Source organism: Homo sapiens, chromosome 11 (assembly GCF_000001405.40).
Source record: "Homo sapiens chromosome 11, GRCh38.p14 Primary Assembly".
Taxonomy (NCBI): Eukaryota; Metazoa; Chordata; class Mammalia; order Primates; family Hominidae; genus Homo; species Homo sapiens.
In genome coordinates this window covers 57,458,739-57,483,534 of record NC_000011.10, presented here as the reverse complement: position 1 = coordinate 57,483,534, position 24,796 = coordinate 57,458,739, and the positions used below count along the sequence as shown (strand labels likewise).

General features: G+C 55.2%; 1 protein-coding gene across 1 annotated transcript, besides 13 other annotated features; it reads right to left on the bottom strand.

The window, feature by feature from the left end:
* Positions 191 to 520: a silencer, noted in NCBI's record as "silent region_3350". NCBI's record gives its function as "represses an Ori minimal core promoter by ATAC-STARR-seq in GM12878 lymphoblastoid cells {active_cell/tissue: GM12878}" and the evidence as "EXISTENCE:reporter gene assay evidence [ECO:0000049][PMID:35858748]".
* Positions 6,001 to 23,007, bottom strand: RTN4RL2 (reticulon 4 receptor like 2). Its single transcript, NM_178570.3, has 3 exons — positions 22,639 to 23,007; positions 15,445 to 15,926; positions 6,001 to 7,373 (listed from the first exon to the last, which is right to left on the bottom strand). Exons 1-3 carry the CDS (start codon positions 22,667 to 22,669, stop codon positions 6,624 to 6,626), a joined length of 1,263 nt encoding a protein of 420 aa, NP_848665.1. The 5' UTR covers positions 22,670 to 23,007; the 3' UTR covers positions 6,001 to 6,623.
* Positions 6,570 to 7,039: a silencer, noted in NCBI's record as "silent region_3349". NCBI's record gives its function as "represses an Ori minimal core promoter by ATAC-STARR-seq in GM12878 lymphoblastoid cells {active_cell/tissue: GM12878}" and the evidence as "EXISTENCE:reporter gene assay evidence [ECO:0000049][PMID:35858748]".
* Positions 6,570 to 7,555: a biological region, named in NCBI's record as "H3K27ac-H3K4me1 hESC enhancer GRCh37_chr11:57243453-57244281".
* Positions 6,727 to 7,555: an enhancer, noted in NCBI's record as "H3K27ac-H3K4me1 hESC enhancer chr11:57243453-57244281 (GRCh37/hg19 assembly coordinates)". NCBI's record gives its function as "activates a minimal SCP1, AML or CMV promoter by ChIP-STARR-seq in primed H9 embryonic stem cells {active_cell/tissue: H9 hESC(primed)}" and the evidence as "EXISTENCE:reporter gene assay evidence [ECO:0000049][PMID:30033119]".
* Positions 7,360 to 7,509: an enhancer, noted in NCBI's record as "active region_4718". NCBI's record gives its function as "activates an Ori minimal core promoter by ATAC-STARR-seq in GM12878 lymphoblastoid cells {active_cell/tissue: GM12878}" and the evidence as "EXISTENCE:reporter gene assay evidence [ECO:0000049][PMID:35858748]".
* Positions 8,729 to 9,229: an enhancer, noted in NCBI's record as "H3K4me1 hESC enhancer chr11:57241779-57242279 (GRCh37/hg19 assembly coordinates)". NCBI's record gives its function as "activates a minimal SCP1, AML or CMV promoter by ChIP-STARR-seq in naive H9 embryonic stem cells {active_cell/tissue: H9 hESC(naive)}" and the evidence as "EXISTENCE:reporter gene assay evidence [ECO:0000049][PMID:30033119]".
* Positions 9,291 to 9,370: an enhancer, noted in NCBI's record as "active region_4717". NCBI's record gives its function as "activates an Ori minimal core promoter by ATAC-STARR-seq in GM12878 lymphoblastoid cells {active_cell/tissue: GM12878}" and the evidence as "EXISTENCE:reporter gene assay evidence [ECO:0000049][PMID:35858748]".
* Positions 14,684 to 15,133: a silencer, noted in NCBI's record as "fragment chr11:57235875-57236324 (GRCh37/hg19 assembly coordinates)". NCBI's record gives its function as "represses an EF-1alpha promoter that drives an FKBP-Casp9 reporter gene in an ReSE screen in HepG2 liver carcinoma cells {active_cell/tissue: HepG2}" and the evidence as "EXISTENCE:reporter gene assay evidence [ECO:0000049][PMID:32094911]".
* Positions 18,518 to 19,113: an enhancer, noted in NCBI's record as "H3K27ac-H3K4me1 hESC enhancer chr11:57231895-57232490 (GRCh37/hg19 assembly coordinates)". NCBI's record gives its function as "activates a minimal SCP1, AML or CMV promoter by ChIP-STARR-seq in primed H9 embryonic stem cells {active_cell/tissue: H9 hESC(primed)}" and the evidence as "EXISTENCE:reporter gene assay evidence [ECO:0000049][PMID:30033119]".
* Positions 19,163 to 19,667: an enhancer, noted in NCBI's record as "H3K4me1 hESC enhancer chr11:57231341-57231845 (GRCh37/hg19 assembly coordinates)". NCBI's record gives its function as "activates a minimal SCP1, AML or CMV promoter by ChIP-STARR-seq in primed H9 embryonic stem cells {active_cell/tissue: H9 hESC(primed)}" and the evidence as "EXISTENCE:reporter gene assay evidence [ECO:0000049][PMID:30033119]".
* Positions 20,757 to 21,295: an enhancer, noted in NCBI's record as "H3K27ac-H3K4me1 hESC enhancer chr11:57229713-57230251 (GRCh37/hg19 assembly coordinates)". NCBI's record gives its function as "activates a minimal SCP1, AML or CMV promoter by ChIP-STARR-seq in primed H9 embryonic stem cells {active_cell/tissue: H9 hESC(primed)}" and the evidence as "EXISTENCE:reporter gene assay evidence [ECO:0000049][PMID:30033119]".
* Positions 22,731 to 23,000: a silencer, noted in NCBI's record as "silent region_3348". NCBI's record gives its function as "represses an Ori minimal core promoter by ATAC-STARR-seq in GM12878 lymphoblastoid cells {active_cell/tissue: GM12878}" and the evidence as "EXISTENCE:reporter gene assay evidence [ECO:0000049][PMID:35858748]".
* Positions 24,100 to 24,159: a silencer, noted in NCBI's record as "silent region_3347". NCBI's record gives its function as "represses an Ori minimal core promoter by ATAC-STARR-seq in GM12878 lymphoblastoid cells {active_cell/tissue: GM12878}" and the evidence as "EXISTENCE:reporter gene assay evidence [ECO:0000049][PMID:35858748]".

The window sequence follows — 24,796 nt, the reverse complement described above, 5'->3', positions numbered from 1 at the left end:
CCTCCGTTTTCAGATAGGAAAACCTGTCCTCAGGGGTCTGGAGACTTGGCAAAGTCACATCGCAGATCCCTGCTGCTCTGAGCCCAGACTCCCGACTTCCAACACTGACTTTTTTTGTTTTTGTAAAGTACAAAATCAGAATTGGCTAGCACCCACCAGCGGGTTCGGCTGGCTTTCAGTAGGCTTGCCGGGGTCTCTGCACTCTGTGTCCGGGATCCTCAATTTGCGAATAGTCTGGGGAGGCTGAGCGCGAGCCAGGAGCGGACCCGGGGGTGGGGGTAAGCGCCACGTGCGCGCCAGGTCCTTGGTGTGCCCGGCAGGCGGCGCTGCGTGGCTGCGGCTGGCTCCGAGGGTGCGGGGGGCGGCGACCCGGGAGGGAAAACCCCTGCCTCTTCCCGGGGCTTGCTCTGCCCGTCCTTTAAACTCGCCCTACACCCTCCCCGACTCCCGTCCTTGCAAGCGTTATCTGCAGCCTCACCGGCCCTCGCAACGGTGGTGGTGGTTGGTGGGGGGTCTCGAAGCTTGCCTCTGGCCAGCCGGACCCCGGTGGGAGATGGAGGCAGAAATTCCGGCCTCCTAGGAGAAGGGCGTCTGCTCACTCCCCCACTCCCCGGGGCTTGGGGAGGGGGCTGGGCAGGGGCGGAAGCGAGCTGGAGCCGTGTTTGTCGCGGCGCTGCGGAGTGGAACAGATGGCTGGGGAGGGGAGAGGGTGCGTGGCGGGGAGGAGGAGGGGTGCGGGGGCCGGAGGATAGGGAACGAGGAATTTCGAAGCCTGGAGTCTCCCAGGAGAAGCCCCCCTCCCCGTCTTTTCCCAGAAAGGGGGGCATATATGCGCCTGCCTTTTTCCCGGAGAGCCCTGGCCTCTGCCCTGTGGCAGACCCTGCCGCGCAATCCTCTGCCCCAGGGCGCGCCCCTCACCCCCAAACCCCCGCCGCGGGACGGGGTGGCGGGGTCAGGACCGCCAGGAGCGGCCCGGGTCGCGAGGGTTAATGGGGCCGCCCTCCCAGGGGCGAGGAGGCGGCGGGAAACGGGCTCGGGGTGGGGAACGAGTTCTGGGATCGCAAATAGCAAAGGAAAAACATGTTAATTGGAGCTTTATGCAGATGAGCTAGGACTGGGGACTGTGGGGTAGAAGGAGGGACAAGGTCGGACCTCGAGGAGCGTTGGTGGGCTCTGGCCGGGGGAGTGATGGACGCCTATCCAGGTATCTGCGTGTTGAGCCTCCCGGGAAGGCCGCTGGTGCCCGGGGATGAGAGGCTTCCTCTCTGACCCACCCCCCAGAAACAAGGTTGGGGGCTCTCCAGGGTCTCCACGTCCTCGGTCTCAGATTGCCACGAAGAGAGGGCGGGGTGCACCCTGCAAGTGTCTGCTTCGGTTTCTGGCTGCTGACCTGTCTCACCTTGGCTGTGGCCCCCTCCTCCCCGGTCTGGCTTGGTCTCCACTCACTTTGCCTCCTCTATCTGTTACTCCCCACACCTGGCATCACCCTTTCCACTCGGTATTGTCTGAAACCTTCCCCAAGTGTGACCCCTTCCCCCTTTGCATTTTCCTTTCTGCCCCCCACAGAACCACTCCACCTTTGAGGCGTGTCTCAAACTTTGGAGTGCTTCATAACCCACCTCCGCTTGCTAAAATGCAGATTCCAGGGCCCCCTTAGCTATCTGATTCAGCAGATCTGAGGGGCTCAGGAATCAGCTTCCTACTTAAATCAGATGCAAAAGGCCCTTATTTTATAGAAACACTGGGCAAGGGATTGGTGGGCTGGAAAGATTGGGTAAGTCTCCTTTGACAGCCCCCACCCCTTCCTCAGTGCTCACCTCTCCACACAGGAGAATTGAAACTTTCACCAAGTGCAGTCCTCTCTGCTTCTGTATGATGATACCAGGCGTGGAGAAGATGGAGGGAAGGAAGGAAGGAAGGAAGGAAGGAAGGAAGGAAGGAAGGGAGGGAGGGAGGGAGGGAGGGAGGGAGGGAGGGAGGGAGGGAGGGAGGGATGAAGGAATGAGTCTGTGCCTGGCTCTTCTCTCTCTGAGCAGGGTCTTCCCTTCCTCTCTCCACTGCCCACTTCCCTCCCCTCTGCTAGGGCTTCGCCATCTATCCTCCTCTCTCACTCCACCAGCCTTGCACACTTTCTTATTTCTCTGCCACCTCCTCACCTGAAGTTTCTACAAAGGCCAAAGGATCTTGAGGTGGGGAGTTTGGGCCTGAAGAGAAAGGGGAGAACCAACCAAAGTTCCTACCTTCGAAGCAATAGCCAGAGACATCTTTGGGGTTGGAAGAAAAGCTGGAAGAGGGAGGCAGAACTTGAGGAAAGAGAATAATAACAGCAAGCATGTAGGTCACTTTGCCATGGGCTATTGCACTGAGTCCCCACAACAAATTGATTTAGGCTGGCACTATTGTCCCCAGCTTACAAAACAAAAACAAACCCACAGAACTCTAATGTTCAGAGAGGTTAAGTAACTTGCCCAAGGTCACACAGCTTACTAGTGGGAACATAACTAGGTCATTTACCCTTCTACTGTCCCAAAACCGTTTCTCCAGAGGCCACTGAATATCTGTCCCAGGCCTGCCCTCCTGCAGGGGCAATGGGGTTGGAGAAGGGCATCATGTACAGAGGTGAAAGGAGATGCTCAGTTTTCAGAACATCTGACAAGTCTATCTGGAAGCATTAAAAATTCATATAGAAACCTGACCCCAGCTGGACCTTGGGCCTGCCACCTGGTCTATCCCTGGCCTCCTGGACTCTCAGAGTCTGTTGGGAAATTTCCCTTCCACAGTGTCCTGAGAGTCCCAAGTCTGTATTTCATTGGAGAGGAGTTCCTCTCGGATTAGGGATCGAAAATTGGGAGCCCGCAGCTAGGGAAACAGGGCTGAGAACCGTCCCCCCCCTACTCTGGGTGTAAGAACCTTAGAGGCTTAAGGGCTTATAAACCTTATCATCTGGTGTCCTAGTCCTCTCCCCAGGCGGTTAGATGCTCATTCTCTGTTCTAGACGACTGAAGCCTGGCTGTGCTTCCCAAGGTGGCCAGTCGGGGGCAGCCGTCTGCTTGGAGGGAGCCAGAGCCTGAGCCTCTGTCTGCTGCTTTGAAGAACCCCTGTATATGGTCAGAGAGGTGCAGTCTTGGCCTTGGGAAAGGGCTCTGGAGTCTGAGATCTGAGGAGGGGGAAGAGGTTTCCTACTTCAGGAGAGACTGAGAAATTTTAGGGGGGCACTCAAAGTCGGTTGGTGGGTTTCACATACATGATAACTGGTGGCCAGTATGATACAAACGTTCTAGCTGGAGTGAAGGTTTGGGATGAGATTGTGAGAGAAAAGGCTAGAAAAGCAGTTGGTACCAGACTCTGAGGGATCTTTGATGCTCTGCTAAGGTGTTTTACCTTTACCCTATAGGCATTAGGAAGCCATTACAGGCTCCTGAGTGACATCATAACATATGCAAATTTTGATCAGATGAATCTGGTCACCACGGTATGGCTGGGTGGGAGGGAGGGAGAGATTCCATGTAGGAAACCAGCGAGGAGGTTATCGCAGTTTTCTTTTATATTCCAGGCATGAGGTAATGAGTAGCTGGAGCAGGGAGGTGGTGGGGAGAATGGGAAGGAAGGGATAGACTGTGGCTGGGTGGGGGACTGGGTAACTGAATAGATGCAGGAAATTAGAGAAAGGGAGGAGTTAATTACAACTAGGCTGGGTGTCTGGCAGACGAAAATGCAGAATGGGGGTACACTCAGAATGTGGGAGGTGAATGAATTTTGCTTTTTTCAGGGGATAGAGGAATCTCAGACAAATCCCTTCCTTTCTATGGCCTCAGTTTCCCCATCAGAGCATTGGTGGGGGTTGGGCTGGATGGCCTTGAACATCCCTCCTATCTCAGGGTGTGTGGGTCAAGGTGGTGAATCTGGGTTGTTTGGAGAGTTTGGGGGTCTGCGCATGTGAGATCGCTGGAGGTGATCTCTGCTGGGTCCTGATTGAGTGGGTGTGCATGTCAGTGTGCATGTCAGAATTTAGGGGACACCTGCCTGTTTGTGGGACCCGTGGGTGGTTGGTGTGCTTGCACGTGCTACATGGCTCTGCTTGGTGCGAGTGTGTGTGAGAGCTCGGGAGTGTGGGTGTGCACGTGATGGGCGTCCGTGGGTCTGTCTGGGCTGGTGGTGGGAGGGGTGGGGGTTGGTGGAGAGTGGCTTTGCTTCAGGCTTCTTCCTGAGGCTCACACACTCCTCTTGCTTTCACTGTTCTGAAATAGCATCTGGACCGATGGCCCATGAATATTTCACAATGATAATTCTATGACCTGGACAGCCTGCCTCTAATTTACCAGCAGCTCCCCTCCCCCTGCCCAGGCCCCAGCAGCCCCTCCTCCACCAGAGCTCTTGTCTGGCTGTCCCTCCAATCCAACCCATTAACCTCCTCACAGCCAGCCTGACACAAGCCCCTGCAAGACCCCAGACTCCGAGCTCCCTGGGTTTCTGACCAGCTGCTCTCACTCTCCCCCAGCCCACCCCACACCCTTAACCGGAGTCTACCTGCCTCAGGCTTAGATGCTGATTTCTTCTCCTTTCTTCTCTTCTTCTCAAGATCATTTGACCTCCCTAGCCAGAATCACAGAACCTCAGCCTGCTTCCTCAAGCCCTAGCATCTAGGCCCCCTCTATCTTTCTATTCCCACCTCCCAAGCTAGATTTTTTTTTTTTTTTTTTTTTTTTTTTTTAGACAGAGTCTCTGTCACCCAGGCTGGAGTGATTCTTGTGCCTCAGCCTCCTGAGTACCTGGGACTATAGGCACCCGCCGTCACGCCTGGCTAATTTTTTTGAATTTTTAGTAGAGACGGGGTTTCTGCCATGTTGGCCAGGCTGGTCTTGAACTCCTGACCTCAAGTGATCTGTCCACCTCAGCCTCCCAGAGTGCTGGGATTACAGACGTTGAGACATCACACCCCACTCCAAACTAGATTCTTAAAAAAACATTTTTAAGAGACTCAGTCTCGATATGTTGTCCAGGCTAGTCTCAAATTCTTGGCCTCAAGTGATCCTCCCACGTCAGCCTCCCAATTAGCTGGGATTACAGGTGCAAGCGACCACACCCTGCCCAAGCTAGATTCTTAGCTCCAAATTCAAACTACCAAACTTCTCTCCAAGTGCTCAGTCTGATGAGACTCACCCCTAAATCCCAACCCAAGTCCTTCTTAGCCTGAGCTCTTCCCAGTCCCCAGCCTCTCTTCCACACACCAGAAAGATGAAGGTTCTGATTGTACCTCAAGCCAGTAATGCATCCCAATTTGGGATTCCTGTCCCTCTGATCACCCGAGTTCCTCGGTCCCTCTTCTAGCCTGTTTGGAAACCTGCTTCTCTGACCTGGTTCATCCCTGATGGCTTCTACCTCACAGGAGCTGAGAGAGAGACCACATACCCACAGGGTTGCTGTGTGCAGGTGTGTACGCTGTGCACTGCACAAGGGCACTTAGCCAAGGAGGCAAGTGTACGCGGAAACCCAGCCTTGGTCTCTGTTTGCTAAGGTGTTTGCTCTGGCATGGGGCTGTGTTTCCCTGAGGGAGCAGTGCCTTGTTCACATTTACCCAAAGCCATGTTGGGGCTGTCTGTGACCAGGAGTGTGTATGTGACTCCTCCTTGCAGGAGAACTGCTCTTGTTTCCTGAAGGAACAGGGTCTGGAAGAGGGCTGTTAACCAGACAGCAGGTCTTCCCCAGGCTTAGTTCCTCAGGCGCCAGACCACTCAGGGTTGGCTGCAGCTCTTCCCCTGGACAAATGAAGAGAAGAGGTGCCACCAGCACCCACTCTTGGCTGCCACACTGCGCCTCACCTAGAATGCAGGGCTTCAGCTCCTCCTCATGGCGGGGGAGCGCACACCACCTCCAGCCACCAGGAAGCTCTTTGATGGCGGGGGACGGCTCCCCTTCTCCAACCCTCCTGGCCCTGCAATCCTTACATTCTGAGACCTCATCCCGCTTTCGGGGTCCCAAGTCAACAAATCTTACAGTAGATAAAATAATAGAATTTTTTAATAAATTTTTTTTCCCAAACAACTTCTTTTGATCTTCACCACGCAGGGGCCACAGTGGAGAGGAAAGTTCTCTCCAGGTGCCCTAAAAAGTGTCCAGGGTAGACTTAGGAGAAAAGTATTCCTCCAGTGTCAGGAGGTTGAGGGGACTAGGGTAAGCAGGGGTCAGGGTCAGCCTGGCCCTGACTGAGGCATCCCCCAAAGGGTCCTGGGTGGGGCTCCCTGGGGGAGCTTCCAAAGGCTCTGCTGGTGGAAGACGCTCTGCAGACAAAAGCCCCTCTGGTGTCCGCTGTGGGCCCTTAGGAGTGCGGGTCAGCGGCTGCCTGGGGGGCCCCACCCCAGCCTTGGGATGGGGAAGAGTTAATGGCCAGAACTGGGGAGGGCAGGGCTGAGCCACCACACACGCCCTCTTGGGGCTGCCACAAGTCAGGACAGCCCAGGGGGCAGGCAAGGAGAGGCGGCCTGCTCCCCGGGGAGGAGAGGAGCTGGGAGGGGAAAGGGAGGCAGCAAGGCCAGGGAAGGTGGGGCGACTGGGGCCGGAGCCGCAGCCCCGGGTGGACGGGAAGCGGGGATCGGACACTGGCCTCTTCGATCTCAGCACCGCAGTCAGAGGTGGTGGGGCACCAGGAGCAGGAGGCAAAGCAGAGGGCTGGGGAGCCCGGCCGAGAGCGCAGGGCCTCGGGAGTCCGGGGGCGCCTGGCAGGCAGCGCCGGGGCACATCTGCTCCCCTCGCTGGTCCTCACCCCCGTAGCCCCCCCAGTAGTCGTCCTCAGTAGGCGCGTCCCCGCCCTGGCGCCCCCGCGAGTCTTCGGCAGGCAGATCTCGGTAGAGGGTGGAGGGATCGGCTGGGGGCGCCCCGGCCTCGGCCACCCCGTACAGGTGGTTGGAGGAGCTGTTGCCGCGGGCGCGGCTGCCCGGCCGCGTGGGTGCCGCGGGCGGACACGCCTGGAAGTCGGCCTCGCGGAGCGCGCGCAGGTCTCGGCCCTGGCGCTCCGGGGGGGTGGCGCAGGTCACGTCGGAGCTGGACACGCGCGCGCGCTGGAACCAGGCCCAGAGCGGCCGCGCGCGGCAGTCGCACGCCCAGGGGTTAGCGTTGAGCCGCAGGAACTCGAGCGAGGGCAGGTCGGCGAGCGCCTCGCCGGGCAGCGAGGCCAGGCTGTTGTTGAACAGGTAGAGGATGGTGAGGCGGCTGAGGCCGCGGAAGGCCGCGCGGTGCACGCCCTGCAGCCGGTTCCCGTGCAGCAGCAGCCGGTCCAGGCTGCCCAGGCCGCGAAACACGTGCTCTGTGAGCAGCCGCAGGCGGTTCCCGTGGAGGAAGAGGTGGCTCAGGTTGGCCAGGTCCGCGAACAAGTCATCCTGGGTGGGGTGGAGTGGGGCACAGAAGAAGAGAATGGGCCTGAGGTAGGGTGCAGACCCCGCTGGGGCCTTGGCCGGGGGAGGGAAGGGGGTGCACCGTGGCAGAAGAGAAAGGGTTGACCTTTTGATTCATAGCATCCTGGATTTGGATTCTGCCTCCTCTAACCTATTTGCTGTGGAAAAAGTGGTATTGGTGAGGTCAGTGGTTCCTAAACTTTCGGGTGTATTAGGATCCCCTGCGGATCTCTGAGCGGGGTGGGGCGGGGGGCAGAGTTTCTAATTCAGGAGGTTTGGGGTGGAGCCTGGGAATCCCCATGTCTACAGGTTCCCCAGGGAAGCCAGTGTGGCCATTGGCAGGACCACAGTTTGAGTTTCAGAACTTCTGGTTTGGTGAAGTATGGAGACTGGGGAGCCAGCCTTTCTGATTTCAAATCTTGGATCTGTCATTAACTGATGCCACCGTGGGCAAGTCACTCAGGATATCTGTGACTCAGTTTCCTCATCTGTATAATGTAGAGATTAAATGAAGCAGCATGTATGAAGGTGCTTAGAACACCTTTCCTTGTGGAGTTCTATGAGTTCCATGAGTTAGCCATTATTCTTTTTTTTTTTTTAATTTTTGTTTTTGTTTTTGTTTGTTAGCCATTATTCTTAACTTGGCCAAGCCAGTCATCTCTCTGTGCCTGTTTCCTCATCTGTAAAATGGGGATGAGTATACCTACTTCCTGGGTTTGTTCTGAGGATTCCAGAGGATGGTTCACATAAAGATCATATGAGGGAAGTGCTGGACACGTGCCCAGCACACAGGGATTTGGTCCAATTATGAAGCCCACAGGCTCAGCACTTAGAGCCCTAGTTCAAAATCCAGCTTGCCTTTTCCCTAGCTGTGTTATTTTAGGCAAGTTTTAACCTCATGGAGTCTCAGGTTCCTCAGTATGTACAATATTCCTTATTATGTATAACCCCCTCAGCAGGCTAAAGGAGGGTTGGATGATAAATGCTGTTAAGGGTACAGTATCTGGCAGGTGCATAGTCAACCATCAATAAATGGTGGCTACTATGACAATAGGGGCTCAGTAACAATTGGGTCCTGTCCCTTTTCTTTAAAAGAGGAGCTCCCTGGGGGAACCAAAGTACTGCTACTAGGCTGGGTATTGGGGTGAGGGGCATCAGCTCCACCCCCAGAGGCGGCAGGGGAGGAGAGGAAGGAAGCCACATTGCATTACTACTCCCCTTAGAGGCGCTGTCCCACCTGCCTGGTGCTAGGGAGTCACCTAATCAGGCCACATTAGTGCAGAAAGGACCTTGGAACTATGGTTCAGAATTAACAGCGGGGGGCGGCGGGTGTGTGTGGCCCACGGCCAGTGGGGATTCCTGGACTCTGCATTATAACCAGCTCACCAGGGGATTCTGATGATCAGCTGACTTGGGAGCTAATGCCTTGGCACCCATCAGCCCAGCTCACTTTTTTAGAGGAGAGCACTGGGGCTCAAAGAGATAAGGGCTTGCCAGAGAGGGAAGCAGGACTTCAGCTCCCTGACCTCACTGCCTTGAGGTCCTCCCCTCTTGTGCAGGGCATCACTGTGGTCAGCAGGTTCCAGGAGGTCTGGGTCTCAGAACAGGAGCATCCACTCTGCTCAGGCCAGTTCACCCAGGGGGCCTGTTCCCTGACTGTGGCACTCCCTCCCTCACTGCCTGGGGAGACGCTTTCCTCCCCATGCCTGCCACCCAGGAGCCTGGTCGGAGGCCTCAGGTTGGGGGAGGGCATTGACTCCCAGCCTACACCCACAGCCTCCACCTTCCTGTGCTCCTGCCTGTTCTCGCCCCCTCCCATCTGGCTTCCGCCCTCTTCGCTACAGGAACTGAGCGTGCCAAGAGCCCTCCTCTTGGCCACATTGAGATCCGTCCCCCTCAACCTTCTCGGCTGCCTCTGACACCACCATTCTCCGCCCCCTGCTGCCACCACCCCAAATCCTGGCTCAGGCCTCCAGCTGGCTCCTTGCACCTCCCTGGCCTCAGCCTGACTCACCATGGCCTGGTGCTCTTGTTCTCTTCCAGGCCCATCCAGGGGGTAGGCTTGGAATCCCTGCCACTCAAAACACCTAAATGGGGTTCCTCTTTTTATGAAGTGTCAGCAAGAGTAGGACACACCCAGAGATGTATGGTCAGAGGATCGATAAGGGGCCGGGGGTTGGGGGAGAGTGAGCAGGGGTAATCCACATTTTGGGGGACCTCGGGAGGTCAGAAGAGTAGACCAAAGTTCCAGAGATCCTAGGGAATTCAGGTGCCTTTGACCCACAGCCCCAGGTTTTGGCCCACAGAATTTCTTGATTCTAACCTCCTCTCCTCTCCTTTTGTTTCTCTGCAAAAAGTCCTGCCCCTCCCTTCTCTGAGCCTCTGCCTTGGGGTCCATTGCCTCCTCCCCCCATCCAAGCTGTTGCCAAATCCCGTTGCCACTTCCTTGAATGTAGCTTTCAAATCCGGTCCTTCCTCTCTCCACTGTTAAAACCGTTCTCTATGCATTAATAAGCTCTTGACTTTCACAGCCCTAGCCCTCCCCCCGCCCCTCCCTATCTCCCCTCCCTATCTCCCCTCCCTCTGGGCTGAGAGCCTCTGCTAAAGTCATCCTCTTCCATTTCAAAAACCACATTTCCCTTGCCTCCCCACTGGCCGGTTCACAGCTCTCTGCATCCATTTGGAATCTTAACACAGCATCCCTGCCTGCTTCCCTGACAGCATCCTGTTCTTAACCTTGCCTCCCTCCAAACTCCCAGCTCTTGGCTCTGACACTAATCAAATGAGCTGCTTGGCTGTGTGACCTTGCGCAGCTCCAAGCACCTCTCTGGGCCTGGGTCTTTTCATCTGTGAAACAAGGGACTTAGGATAGGTGATCTTTAAGATCCCATCTGCATCTGATTTTTATGAATTGGTGAGTTCTGGGATGTGCCTCATTCATTCCACAGAGCTGTACCGAGTGTCTACTCTGTGCCAGGCACCCCCGCTTACAGAGCTCATCAGTCTAGGATGGGTATCATCGTCATCATCGGCGTCAGCATTGTCAAGCAGGTAACTGATTGAGCTCTTACCATGTGCCAAGCTCTGTGCTACACAGATCCTATATAGTAACTTAATTGTCACAACCCTATGAGGTGGATACTATTATTATCTCCATTTCAGAGATTACGAGATGGAGCCTCAGAGAAGTGAAGTGACTCGCCTAGGGTCCAACAGCTAATATGCAGTGGAACGTGGCTTCCAACTCCAGAGACCTCTGAACAACTGCACTCTGGAGTCAGACAGACCTGGGCCAATTCTAGGTCATGTTCCTTACTAGCTGGGTGACCTTGGACTGTGCTTTTATTTTGCTGAGCTTCAGTTGGTGTCCTCCCTGGTGTTAATGGATAGCTACCATTCATTGGATACTCACTTTGTACCAGACATTGGGCTGTGAGCTCAGTAGTATCTCCTTTAATCCTCACAACCCCTGCTCGCCAAGGTACAGGTTATCCCCATTTCACAGATGGGTCCATCGAGGCTCAGAGTGGTTAAATAACTTGCACAAAGCCATAGAGCAAATTAGAGGTGTGGCTGGAATTCAAACTGAGATCTGATCTGCTTGAGCATAAAGACTATTTTTAAACCATTCAGGCCAGCTGTGTACGGTGGCTCATGCCTGTAATCCCAGCACTTTGGGAGGCCGAGGCGGGTGGATTGCTTAAGTTCAGGAGTTTGAGACCAGCCTGGGCAACATGGTGAAACCCCGTCTCTATAAAATAGAAAAATTAGCTGGACATGGTGGCACATGTCTGTAGTTCCAGCTACTGGGGAGGCTAAGATGGGGGAATTGTTTGACCCCAGGAGGTGAGGCTGCAGTGAGCCAAGATTGCGCCACTGCACTCCAGCTGGGTGACATAGTGAGACTGTCTCAAAAACAAAAACAAAACAAAACAAAACAAACAAAAACCATGCAGGCCACTGTAATGACTGAAAGAGAAAACAAGTGTCGGCGGGTGCGGTGGCTCACACCTGTAATCCAACACTTTGGGAGGCCAAGGTGGGCAGATCACCTGTGGTCAGGAGTTCAAGACCAGCCTGGCCGACATGGTGAAACCCCGTCTCTACTAAAAATACAAAAATTAGCCAGGCATGGTAGCACATGCCTGTAATCCCAGCTACTTGGGAGGCTGAGGCAGGAGAATCGCTTGAACCTGGGAGGCAGAGGTTGCAGTGAGCCGAGATCGTGCCACTGCACTCCAGCCTGAGCAAGAGAGCGAGACTTCGTCTCAAAAAAAAAAAAGAAAGAAAACAAGTGTCTTTATCATCTGGCTACACTTGAGTAGGGAATATGCTCTGGGAGAACAGGGCCACTGTTTCTGTTCTCTCCTGAATCCCTGGCACCTGGAACATTGCCTGGCATGTGGTAGATACTCAGTAAATATCTGTTGATGAATGAACTCACCTGGCACAGTGCCTGGCCCTTCCCCATTCTGAAAAGCTGTGGTCCTCTGGTGGAGTTTCCTCCAAAGCTCCCCTTTGGGGCAGGCCTGGCTCCATCTTGGGTCACACCTGCACCCTGCGGATCTCACCCCAGCCCATGTTTCCTCACCTGCCTGTGGCATCTCCCAGCCCAGCCCTACCAGGCAGTTCACAGGCAGAGGCTGTGTTTTCCATCTCCTCTATAAAAGGCCAGGTGTGAAGTTGCTTCCTTCCCATGATGCCTGGTACCATTCATGCCAGGGGCGTAGAGAACAAACACTTCCCATTTCAGAAGACCCCAATGTCCACCTGAGGTCCCCTCTGCCCAAGCCTTTGCTGACCTCAGGTCCTGATTGCTGTTGTTGGCCTGAGAGTCAATGGAGGATGGGGTCATAATAACATGATTTCTTCAGCACTGAACTATGGGCTTTTTTTTTTTTTTCCTTTTTTGAGACAGAGTCTTGCTCTGTCACCCAGGCTGGAGTATAGTAGCACGATCTCAGCTCACTGCAACCTCCACCTCCCAGGTTCAAGTGATTCTCCTGCCTTAGCCTCCCTAGTGGCTGGGATTACAGACACCTGCCACCCCGCCTGCCTAATTTTTGTATTTTTAGTAGAGACAGGGTTTCACCATATTGGCCAGGCTGGTCTCGAACTCCTGACTTCAAGTGATCCACCCACCTTGGCCTCCCGAAGTGCTGGGATTGCAGACATGGGCCACCACACCAGGCCTGAACTATGGGCTTTCTATACACTAACTCGTTTCCTATTTACAGCCATTCTTGGTGGAAGGTATTATTTTCATTATTCCCAGTTTGCAGATAAAGTAAGTGAGGTTCAGAGAGGGTTAGCAACCTGCTTAAAGTTAAATAAGTCAGAAAATAGTAGATCGGGGATTCAAGCTCAGGCCCTCTGACTCCAAATTCCTCCTAAATAACTAATATATATTGATAAGGAGATTTTGAAAGCATTAAATGCATGATCAATTTGTAGTAGTATTTGATCTCAGTATTAGTAGTAGTAGTAGTAGTAATTATTATTATAGTGCCCATATGTGCTAAATGCCTTACATTTTAATCCTTGTGCTAAATGCCTTACATTTTAATCCTTACAAAACTTCTTAAATAAGGATTATTATTGGCTGGGCATGGTGGCTCACACCTGTAATCCCAGCACTTTGGGAGGCCGAGGTGAGTGGATCACCTGAGGTCAGGAGTTCAAGACCAGCCTGGCCAACATGGTGAAACCCGTCTCTACTAAAAATACAAAAAATAGCTGGGTGTAGTGACACATGCCTGTAATCTTAGTTACTCAGGAGGCTGAGGCAGGAAAATCACTTGAGCCTGGGAGGCAGAGGTTGCAGTGAGCCGAGATCGCACTACTGCACTCCAGCCTGGGCGATAGAGTGGGACGTCGTCTCAAAAAAAAAAGATTATTATTAAGTACTATCCTGATTGCCATTTTAGAGATGAGGAAATGGAGACTGAGAGAGGTTAAGTAATTTGTCCAAAGTCATATATATAGGAGCCAGGATTTGAACCTAGGTCTTGCTGAGTCCAAACTGTGTGCTTTCAAAAATGAGCCTGCTCAATTGTACTCCAGAGTACTGTCCCCTTGTAGCCAGACCATGAGGTTCAAGCGCCAGCTCTTCCTGGGTGTGTGGCCTCAGGAACATTCATTCCATGTCCCTAGTGCCCCTAACTGTCCCTATCACCAGGTTGTTGTGAGGCTCAACATGATGGTGAGAAGACATAAGCCTCCGGTCACACCGACAATGGTTGAAAAGATTTATGATTGGAGGTGACTATATCTCTATAGGGTCTTCAGGGCCCCCAGCCTCAGCTTCTCCATTGTTAACAAGGAGGTGAAAATAATCTCCCAACTGGGCTGTAGAAATGAGATGAGGTGGCTGAGTGCACTTCATAAACTGTGAGGTGCAATTTCTGGGACTCACTCATGACCTTAGTATAATCCTTGAAGTTGACCCACATCTTCAGGATGGAGTCCAAGTTGGGCCACTTCACTGAAACCAATGTTAAATAAGGCTCGTTTCTTTTTTTAAAATAGTATTTTAACAAGCATTTATATAGCACTTACCGTATGCCAAGCACTATTCTAAGTGCTTTACAAATTATTCATGCATTTAATGCTTTCAAAATCCCTAGGAGATGGGTGCTCTTGCTACCCCATTGTACAGATGAGAAAACTGAGGTCTGAGGAGGTAAAAAAAAAAAATGTCACACGCTTGTAAATGGCAGAGTGGATACCTATAAAGTGCTTGGCACTGTGGCTGACCCTGTGTACCCACTAAGTGGTGGCGGCTACTGCTATTACTGTCACTATTTAGGCAACAATAAGAATAATATAAGACATATTTTTCCAATATACCGTGCATTTTACTTCTTTCCCTCCTCATGGGAATGGTATCTCTGTGAAGGCAGGGGGTTTGGTCTGTTCTGTTCACTACTGTATTCTTAGCATCTAGCTCGTAGTGGGTGCTCAGTATGTTTGTTAGGTTGTTATGGCTATTGTTATTATCATTAGCATCATCAGCACTGACCTGATTTTCCAACTAGCAGATTGATAACTAGTTAGGCACTAGCCCTGGATGAGGCAGAGGAAGCACGTTCCAGGTTCAAGTAGGGAGAGGGCAGAATTTGGATATTTTCACCCCCTTCCAGCCGGAGGCTCTGTAGCCAAGGGAAGATTTTCTCTCAGGGTGGTTTGGAGGGTGTGTTATTGCTTCCTGGGGAAATGGAGTGGGATGATTTGCGTGTCAAACAGTCAGCATAACAACAATAAACAATAATTAGATCAATAATAATAACAATGAATAACAATTACTGGTATTCCTTCCATTTTCAGAGCATCCATTCTCCAGCTGCATAACAGAGATTTACCCTTTTCTTTCTTCCCCTGCATTGAGATGACAGGTTTGGAAAATGGGAATCTAGAAGGGGTGTGGGCTTCTCCCGTCCCATTGCCCAGTGAATTGGAGAGAAGCGCAACTTTCTGTGGGATGCCAGTGGCTGTGGCTCTGCCTTCTCTCTCTACTTCACCGTGATGTGGGCAGACTTGAGGGTGGGTGAGAAAAACAGCTGCAAAGGCCTTTGGGCAGGGGACCCTGGGGGAAGGCAGAGTGCCCTGAAGGCAAACACGTGAGATCACAGAAAGAGACAGATACACACACGCAGACAGACATGGGGGTGTATGCGGAGTGGGTGTGTGAAGGGAGACAGACAGAAGAGGCAGAAGACAGATGGGGGAGGCAAGTTAGTGAGAGAGGCAGTGATGGATGGAAAGGGATAGACAGACAGACAGGCAGAGGCAGAGAGGTGAAGGTTGTGGAGTTAGAGGGAGAGAGAGAGAGAGGAACAGCAAGGGACCTAAACAGGTAGAGAGGCAGAAGGGAAAAAGTAAAGCCCCTGGAGAATGTAAGAGAGAAAAGAGACATAGACAGAGAGAAATGGAGATGCTGAGGCAGGAAGGGTGGCCTGGGGAGAGAGGAGGGACGCACGCCAGGGTCGGGGAGCAGAGGGGCCCACAGAGAGAGGAAACCAGAAAGGGGCTGAGGGTGGGGGCAGGGCAGGCTCACCTGTAGGTGGAGCAGGCTGTTCTCCTGGAGGTAGAGGTACTGCAGGCTGACCAGGCCTCGGAAGATGTTGCCGGGCAGGCTGCTGAGCTGGCAGCGGTACAAATGCAGCGACTGCAGCCGCTCCAGGCCCTGGAAGGTGTCGGGCTCCAGCGAGCGCAGGTGCCGGTTGTCACCGAGGTCCAGCTCCTCCAGGGCTTGCAAGTGGCGGAAAGTGCCCGGGTAGATGGTGGAGAGGTTGTTGGAGAAGAGCCACAGGGTGAGCAGGTTGGACCCAAAGGTGCCTGGCCGCAGCGTGCGGATGAGGTTGTTCTGCAGGAAGAGTCGCTGAGTGCTGGGTGGCAGGGACAGCGGCACAGAGGAGAAGTTGTTGGCCTGGCAGCTCACGGTGGGCGGGGATGAGTAGCAGGTGCAGAGCATGGGGCAGCTGGGGGCCGCCAGGGGCAGGGCCAGGAGCATCAGCAGGAGGCAGGCCGAGGCGGGAGCTGTGGGGAGGGGAAGCAGAACTTACTAGGTGGGCTTCCAGGGCAGGAGTGCCAGCTGGGGGCCAGCCCCCCAACTTGGTAAAAGGCCTAGACCCGGCTGAATATGGTGGCTCACACCTGTAATCCCAGCACTTTGGGAGGCCAAGGCAGGAGGATTGCTTGAGGCCAGGAGTTTGAGACTATCCTGGGCAACATAGGGAGATCCCTGTCTTTACAAGAAAAAAAAAAAAATTAGCCAGGCATGGTGGCATGTGCCTGTAGTCCCAACTACTTGGGAGGCTGAGGCAGGAGGATCGCTTGAACCCAGGAGTTTGAGGCTGTAGTGAGCAACGATCACACCCTTGCACTCCAGCCTGGGCAACACAACAAGACCCTGTTTCAGGGGAAAAAATAGAAAATAAAAATAAAGGCCTAGAGCCCTGGTGCTCCCATGTCTGGGGGCTCAGGGGACAACGTTATAGCCTCAAGTGGCCTGGCCACTTCCACTTTCTGAGGCTTCTCATATATTAAAAAATAATGCCAAAAGGCCATTGTAGAAAGCACTGCAAATTGGTTGAAGAATGATCATCTCTTCATTCCTGTTTTCACTATTGCATGTTTGACCTTGTCTAGAGATTAATGTCAAAAGACTAACGTCAGGGTTTCTCTGCCTCAGTATTGACAGTTGGGCCGGATAGTTCCTCGTTGTGGGGGCAGCCCTATATAAGGCATTTAGCAGCATCTCTGTCTTCTACCCACTAGATGCCAGCAGCACCCTGCCTCCAGTTGTGACAACCAAAATGTCTCCAGACATTGCCAAATGTCCCCTGGGGGGCAAAGTCACCCCATTGGAGAATGACTGGAAGTAACTTGGGACCCTTTGGAGATCTGAGGCCCGTGTGAAATGGACTCACTCTGGGGTCTGGTCTTGCCAGCCCACTGGTGCCCAGTGCCCTTACTTTCCTGTACTTTTCGCCCTTGCAGAGTCAGAGCCTCTTTGTGCCGGGAGGGGCCTTAAGGGTCGGGTCTCTAAGTGAGGCCACCAGCCAGTCCTAGGAACTATGCAGAATTCCTGGGGGGACAGCCTGGGAATCTGCATTTTACACCCCAGGCTCTCCTCATTCGCAGTTACTTAAAAACTTCTTTCTTTTTTTCTTTTGGAGACAGGGTCTTGCTCCATCGCCCAGGCTGGAGTGCAGTGGTACGATCACAGCTTATTGCAGCTTGGATCACTTGGGCTCAAGCAATCCTCCTGCCTCAGCTTCCTGAGGAGCTGGGACCACAGGCCCGTGCCACTGCACCCAGCTAATTTTTTAAAAATTTTTGGCCGGGCGCGGTGGCTCACGCCTGTAATCCCAGCACTTTGGGAGTCTGAGGCGGGTGGATCACGAGGTCAGGAGATCGAGACCATCCTGGCTAACACGGTGAAACCCCGTCTCTACTAAAAATACAAAAAAAAAATTTAGCCGGGCATGGTGGCGGGCGCCTGTAGTCCCAGCTACTTGGGAGGCTGAGACACGATAATGGTGTGAACCTGGGAGGCGGAGCTTGCAGTGAGCCGAGATCGCACCACTGCACTCCAGCCTGGGTGACACAGCGAGACTCTGTATCAAAAAAAAAAAAAAAAAAAAAAAAAAAATTGTAGGCATGGGGTCTTGCTATGTTGCTCAGTCTGGTCTCAAACTCCTGGCCTCAAACAATCCTCCCACCTTGGCCTCCCAAAGTGTTGGGATTTCAGGCATAAGCTACCGCATCCAGCCAAAGCTTTTTTTTTTTTTTCCCCCAAAGTAACTTTTGAAGGTTGGATATGATCCATCCTTATTATGATACTGATGGAAAAGCAGGCCCAGAGAGCCTGGGGGCTAGAGAGTGGAGTGCAGGTGTCTGTACTCATATTTTAATAGGGGTGCAGGGCCTCCCATCATCCCTGGCCTTTGCCGTCACTATAGCTGATAAAGTTCTAGGCCGGAACTAGCTTGACCTCTACACTTTCTTATGATTTCCAGGTGACTCCTGGGATTTTCTTCTGGCAGTTTTGCCTGGGGAAAAAGGGAGCCTGCACCCCCAAAGCCAGGCAGTCATTCCCTGGGCACACAGTGACTGAACACCTTCTGCTTCAAGCAACGTCCTAGGCTTTTGAAGGCAGAGGGGAGGAAGACTTGTTTCTGCACTCTGACATCCTGGGGCTCCTTGGGGTTCAGAGACCCTGGGAGAGACTGAGGGGTTGGTGATTTTGAGTGTGGGGTCTCCAAGGCTGCAAATTGCACTTGCTTAGTGGTGGTTTTGTGTGTGTTGTGTCACGCTCCTGAGGTTGCCGTGTGCGTGAATGTGTGTATGTATCTGTGATTTTGGGTAGTGGCGTGAGCCAGGTGCTCACCAAATGCAGTGCTGCTCAGCCAGGTGTGCACGCATGGGACTGACAGGCCCCGAGTGTGGCGCTGGCATCCCAGCTGCCCTGGTGTTCCTCCTCCAGAGGGGGGAGCACACAGGTGCGGGGTGGAAGATCCACACTCCCAGTGTGCTGCTCCTCGCTTTTGGGCCCCACCGTGAGTGTCCCCGGCCCCTCCTGGCGCTGCGTCGGTGCTGCGTCGGTGCGTGCTGGCTGTCCTCCGCGTGTGTGTGAGCGCCGGGCCCCGTGCGTGTGTAGGCTGGGTGTGATGTAATACTCAGTGACACAGCGGCTGCTGTTCCATTCGTTCACACCACCTCCGCGTTTCTCGGCCCTTCTCACCCCTCCCCCGTGCGGCGTTTCACGATTACTTTCTCCTCCCGAGTTTCTTAGACCCACGTGGGGTGGAGGAGCAATGTCTCTCACCCCTCATCTGAACCAGGCAGAGGTGGAGTGTGGAAGCACAGTGGGGACCCTGAGTGGGTTTCATGAGGGTTGAGGTTTGGGGCTTAGAACTGGAGATTTCAAAGCCGCAAAGGTCCCCTCGATTCCTCTGGTTCAAGCATCAGTTCTACTGAGGTGATGACTGGAGCTCAGAGAGAGCAAGCGACTTACCCAAGGTCACACAGCAAAGTGTTGGCAGGGAAAGGGCCAGAAAAGTCTCTTGATGCCCAGCCAGGGCACTTCCCTTCCTATCAGAGTCACCCTCTGATCTCCACTTCCCTAAGGACTTGACACCAAAAGAAGCCAAATCCTTCTCTGATCCCTTAATCCTACCCCTTATCCACAAGCTCACCAGAGTGTGAGCCCTGATGGCCGCTAGCCCCTGGAGGATTACAGAGCTTTCCCCCAGCCTCCGGACTGACCGCTGCCCCAGGAGAGACAGAGGGAAGGATGTGCAATCTCAGAGGCAAGGCCCATTCCCCTGGCATCAGGGTTCCTTCCGGCCTTGAGGGTAAACTCTGCAGGAGCTGGCAAGGGTGCCTACTCCTCTTTCTCTCCCTAGACTCTCCTGCTCCCCACCTGCCCACATTAGACTACTTCTCTTCTCTTTCCCCACTCTCCTTCCATCTTGTTCCCATGTCTCCCCCAACCAGGGCTCACCTCCCCCAGCCCATGATAGTGGTCCCTGCAGGCTCTCTGAAGAGCGACCCCGTGCTGGGGGCTCCTCCATAACAGCTGCTGCATAACAGTGACTCTGTTGCCATTTCTGGCCCTTGCCACTGCCGTGCAAAGCAGCTGTAACCCAAGGAGCTCATCCATAATTCACGCAGCGGCTCTCACTGGAGGCAAGGAGGAGGGGAGGGGAGGGGGCTCTGGGCTTCACTGCCCCAGGCCTGCTGGGGCTGGAGCGAGCACTCCAGGGCAGAGGTGGTGGGACTGGGGGGTTGGGGGACTAGAGAGCTGTGCCTTTCCCTCTCTCCCCCGCCCTCAGTCCCTGCCCTGCCCAGTGTGTGCCCTTTTCTTTCTTGCCACGTCCCTTCCCCACCCCCTGTTCTCACTCCTCCTCAGCACCACCACTCCTTCCCTCCAGGCCCAGGCCTCCTGTCTCTCCCGAGGACCACGGCTCCACTCCTGGCCTTCATTTTGTGAATTCCCGGTGGAGACTGGGGCAAGATGCACAGAGTATCAGAGCTGGAAAGGGGGATACCTCGGTGGCCACCTAGAGCCGACCCCTCACATCATAGGTAACACCATTGAGGGCTGGGGAGGGGAAGTGTGAGTTTCTGAGCACCCCAGGCCTCCTGACCAGGTCTCTACAGCTCGCCTTCATTGTCTTTCTCAGAAGCCTTCATTTCATCCCTCCACTACTTCATGGACAGAGGAAAGCCCTTTGTAGCAGCCTCCCCCACCCTCTCTGCTCACCCCCTCCTCTAAAGTCAGCAGGGGATGGCTAGAGCTGCAGGGGAGAGTACAGCAGGGTAGGAGGAAACCAAGAAGCACCTATTTTGTCCTAGGCACTGCATTTGTACAGGTTAACTTCTTTATACATTGAACACAACACACATAATCCCCTGGAGGTCAATATTGTGGCCCCCAATTTGCAGATGAAGGAAGGGAGCCCCAGAAACATGACACAGTGGCCTCAGGTCATGCAGCTAGTACAAGGTGGAACCCAGATTGGAAAAGAGGGACATCAAGCCCATGTCAGAGAGACACTCTGATCTTTCTTTAAGAGGTGGCCACATCCTCCGCAGAAACCACGCCTGAATGTGTGAGACACTGCCCTTGAGGTAAAGACAGGAGAGAAATTGCACCCAGGTGCCTAGGGCTGGGCCAGCCACAATGCTGAGTCTGTTTGGCTATTCAGGGTCAAGGCAAGGAAGGGACTCCAGCTCTCTCTGCAACTTTCACCTCCTAGGCTTCCAGTTGCGGTTGTTCTAGAGTAGTGATTACATGTGGGAGTCAAGAAGAGATGACCCCTGTCCAGAATATATGGCCAGAACTGACCAGGGGAGGGAGCCAAGAGAGGCCAGAACATGGTATTGATCCCGGAAGGCTGAAGTGTCCAGAGCCAAAAGTATCTGTTCACTGAGGGACCACTGTCCAGGACTCTGGCTATCAAACCTTGGAGTACCAAGGCTCAGAAACAAAGTTCTCAGCCCACAGGCCACTCTTTGGGCCGGAGGCCCCTGTAGAAGAAGGAACTTGAGGAGAAGAAAACTGGACCCAAAGTAGGGGGCAGGATCCAGGCTACCCACCCACAGGGCAGAGTCGCTGGTGCAGAGTGGTCCCAGGAAAGGATGCTCCCTGGAAAGGCAGCAGAGGCCTCTCGCTCTGGAAGGAGGGGCACAGGGTCCCAGACGAGAAGCAAGGGCTCCACACCCAACGGGCTGCTTCAGGGAAGGGCTGGGGCCTGCGGGCAGATGCTGAGGGGGCAGGGGCTGAGGAGGTGGGAGCTGAGGAGTGGGATGGAGGTGGTGGTGATGCCAGTGACGCAGGGGCCTGGGGAGGCACTGACGCGGGTGACGGAGGTTTAGAGCTGCTGCAAACAGCTTCTCACTCTGCCAGAATGTAACACCCCAAAATAAGCAGCCACCGTGGTGGCGGCAGCGGCTGCAGAATCCAACGTCCAGGCCGGATAAATAAATGGCAGCACAGGAGCCAGCCTGTTTGCCCACCCTCGGAGGCTGTCACTCCCCTTCCAAAGTCCTCACCCTCTGTCCCTCACAGCCACCCCCAGGGCCCTGAGCTCAAAGCACCCCCCATCTGGCCCACCAGCCACTCCCTGAGAGAAGAAATGTGGCAGGCAGGCGCTTTGGGAATGGAGGGCTTCCCACGTGGAAGTGGTTACCAGAAGCCTCTTTGTCTCATCCCTGGGCAGCACCCCCAATCCCCAGTCCCTCTCTCTCAGCCTTTCTCTTCCTCCTCCTCTTCCCTCCTCTCCAGCCCCTCTCCCATCCATGGTTCCCTGTCTCCAACCCTCTTCGCCGGTTCCTGATACCCCTTCTCTAGTCACCATCCCCATCCTTCTCTGGTTTCTGATCTTTCCATTCTCCTTTTCCATTCCAGTCCCCAGGGTCCCAGTCCTGATTCTCTTTCCCGCTACCTCCATCCCAGGATTCTGGGTCCCTGTCCATAGTCTTCTTCCCATCCCTCCCCTGATCTGGTCTTTCCTCTCCTTCCCTCTTCCTTGGTCTTCACCTGGGTCCCACTTCCCTCCACGCTTTTCCCATCTAACCTTTATTCCTTCTCCCCCTCCCCCGCTCCATCTCCCTCCTCCTTTGAGCTTCCCTCACCACTTTCTCCATCTTTGAGTTCTCCTTCCTATCCCTCTCCCCCTGACCCCTCCCCACCCCACCCCCAGTCTCTGGCCCACACCCTTATCTGTCACTCAATCAGTAGAACTATCCTCTTTCTAGCGCCCTCCATCTCTCCTACCAGAGAGGGCCACTTGGATTTCCCTCTGCGCCTCCTACCTCCCCAGACAGCCCCCTACCCACATCTCCTGTCTTCCCAGGTGGCCAGAAAGTGCTGAGGCACCGGGCAGGAGGAGTTGCTGAGTCGGCGCTTCCCCAGCCGGCCCGAGTCCTCAGCGTCCCCCGGAGCAGGTGGAGCGGGGACAGCGGAACCTGAGCCTCCCTCCCCGCTCCGGGCCGGGTCCACCTGCCCCCTGCGTCCCACCTCGGTCACGAGCTCCTCGCACGCGCCCGCGGGCTCCCAGCCAAGTGCCCTCCTGCTGAGAACAGCCCTGGCGGCGGGGGCGCGGCCCCAGCGCTGAGCTTTTCCCCTTCCCCAGGTTACCCCACCTCCCCAACTGCCCCACCCTCAATCCCTGAAAGAGGGGACGCCCTGCTTCTCTCCCCAGGATGCCCTCCGCTCTCCCGCCGCTGGCGTTCTTACCTTGCAGCAGGCGCCTGAGCCCGGGCAGCATCTTGTCTCGATGCTCGGGGGAGGGGGCAGCGGGGGGAGGGCGCTCCCACTCGCTCCCTGAGCCCGCCGGATGCACGGCGGGGACCCCGCGGGGCTCCGGGAGGGCCCGGGAGTCCCCGGGCTGCGTGGCCGGGCCGCGGCGCTCTACCCTGCGCCGCCCGGGCTGCGGGCCTCGGGAGGAGCCATCGGCCCCGACGGGACGGGGCGGGGCGCGACGGGGCGGGGAAGGCTGGGGCTGGCCGTCGACGCCCAGCGCCCGCGCCCCGCTAGCTGCGCTGTCCGCTCGAGAGTCCGTCAGTCCGTCTGTCCGTGTGCCCAGGCTGCTAGCCGAGGGAGAGTGGGGACAGCGAGGAAGCTCTTCCCAACCACCCCCACTCCTTCCCGCACTCGCTGGCTCCTCCCTCGTTTGCTGGCTTGCCGACTTAACCCTTTCTCGACCACTAGGAGGCGGGAGCGGCTTTCTAACCCCCTCCACCCCGCCCCCCTCCCCCCCGCTTAAGCGACCCGGAGGACTGTGTTCGATCGTCCTCGCGGCGCCACTCTTCTAGAGAAATCCCTTCTTGGGGGAATGCGGTAGTTTAGAGGAACGCCGTGGACTTGTCCTGTTCCCCCCTCCCAACTTTCCAGGAGAAGATGAGCTTCTGGGTCACCCCCTCCCCCGCCCCCAGCCGCGTCCCTCGCGCCAGTGTCCCAGCCTCCAGCATTTCTGTCCCCTGGGACAGCTCCAAGATTCCACTTTTCCTTCCACTCCCAGACCTCAAGCCCAGTGTGCGACTATAAGAATAGTATATGCAAGAGTTTGTGCGTGCAAGATCGAGTGCATATGAGCGTGCACGTGCGCGCAAGGATGCTTGTGCAGGTGTGACTCAGGATGCTTGCCCGTTACCCTTTGTACGGGCTTGGGGAAGCGGGGGGGGGGGCACGTGAGTGTGCACACGGGTGAGCCGCTGAAAGTCCGCCAGCGTGCATGTCTGAGCTGGTGGGAAACGTGAGGCTGTGCGAGGTTTTGCGCTTGCGATCTTGGGGATGGGTGGAAAGAAATATGTGCCCGGTGTGTGTATGCCCCTTAGTGCATTTACAAGCGGGTGCGAGATGGGCGCGCGTGCGAGTGTGTGCGTTTTTTTGTGTATGTATGATGTGTCCGGGAGGGGAGACCTTATCTCCCGCGGGGGTGCAGGAGAGGACCCAAAGCTGGGGAGAAGACTGTTGGCTTCGCGTGAACTTCCTCTACCCCCTTTTAAAGAGGGGCGGATTATGGTCTCACTGGAGCCCCTCTGGCCCTTCATGGCCTGGTCACAGGCGGTATCAGCAGACCCATCACCTAGGCACTTCCCTACAAAGGCTGCAGGGCGGTTGACCCAGGTCTTGACTCGGCCCGGCGCGTCCGCGGAGCCGCCCCGGCGTAGGATAGGCTCGGGGCCCTCGGGGGAGCCGCTTCGGGTACGGTGGCCAGGCAGCGCTGGCGGGGTTGGGGCTGCTGGAGCCTCAGGTGCGGCGGTGCCGGGGCTGCTGAGCCCCCTGGGCTGCCGCTCCCGCGAGCACAGAAGCCCCTCGCCCCGCTGCCCGCGCCGCGGCTCCTCCTTTCCTATCCGTGCCAGGGTCCAATGCAGTGCCTGGCATACAGTCGGCTCTTGATAAATGTTGGTCTTATTCTTCCCATTCATTCTCTGCTCCCTCCACGGTCTCTCGTTCTTCTCGCGTTCTCATTCGATTTCTCTGGTTTTCTCCCCCGACTCTTACTCATATTTCGTGGTCTCTGTCTCTCTGTTCCCTCCCTCCCTCACTCTCTCTCGGACCTTTTCTGTCTCTACTCGTCTGTTTCCCTGCCCGGTCTTCTGTCTTTCTCACTGTCTCTCTGTGTCTTCGTCTCTCTCCTCCTCCCCGCGGGGCTCCCTGCGTCTCTGTCTCTCGTCTCTGTGTGTCTCGGTGTCTCTGCCTCCCTTTCTCTCCCCCTCTTCCCCAGTTTCATTCCCAGGCTCCCGGCCCGTGGGCACCTCGGCTCTCGGGTGCCCCCTGCTGGTTCCATTTTCGGACCTTCTCGGCCCCCCAGCTCCTCTCTGTGCCCCTAAATTTCCTTTCCCGCCCCTCTCGTTTTCGGATCAGGTAGAAACAGAAAGAAAAGTCTCTG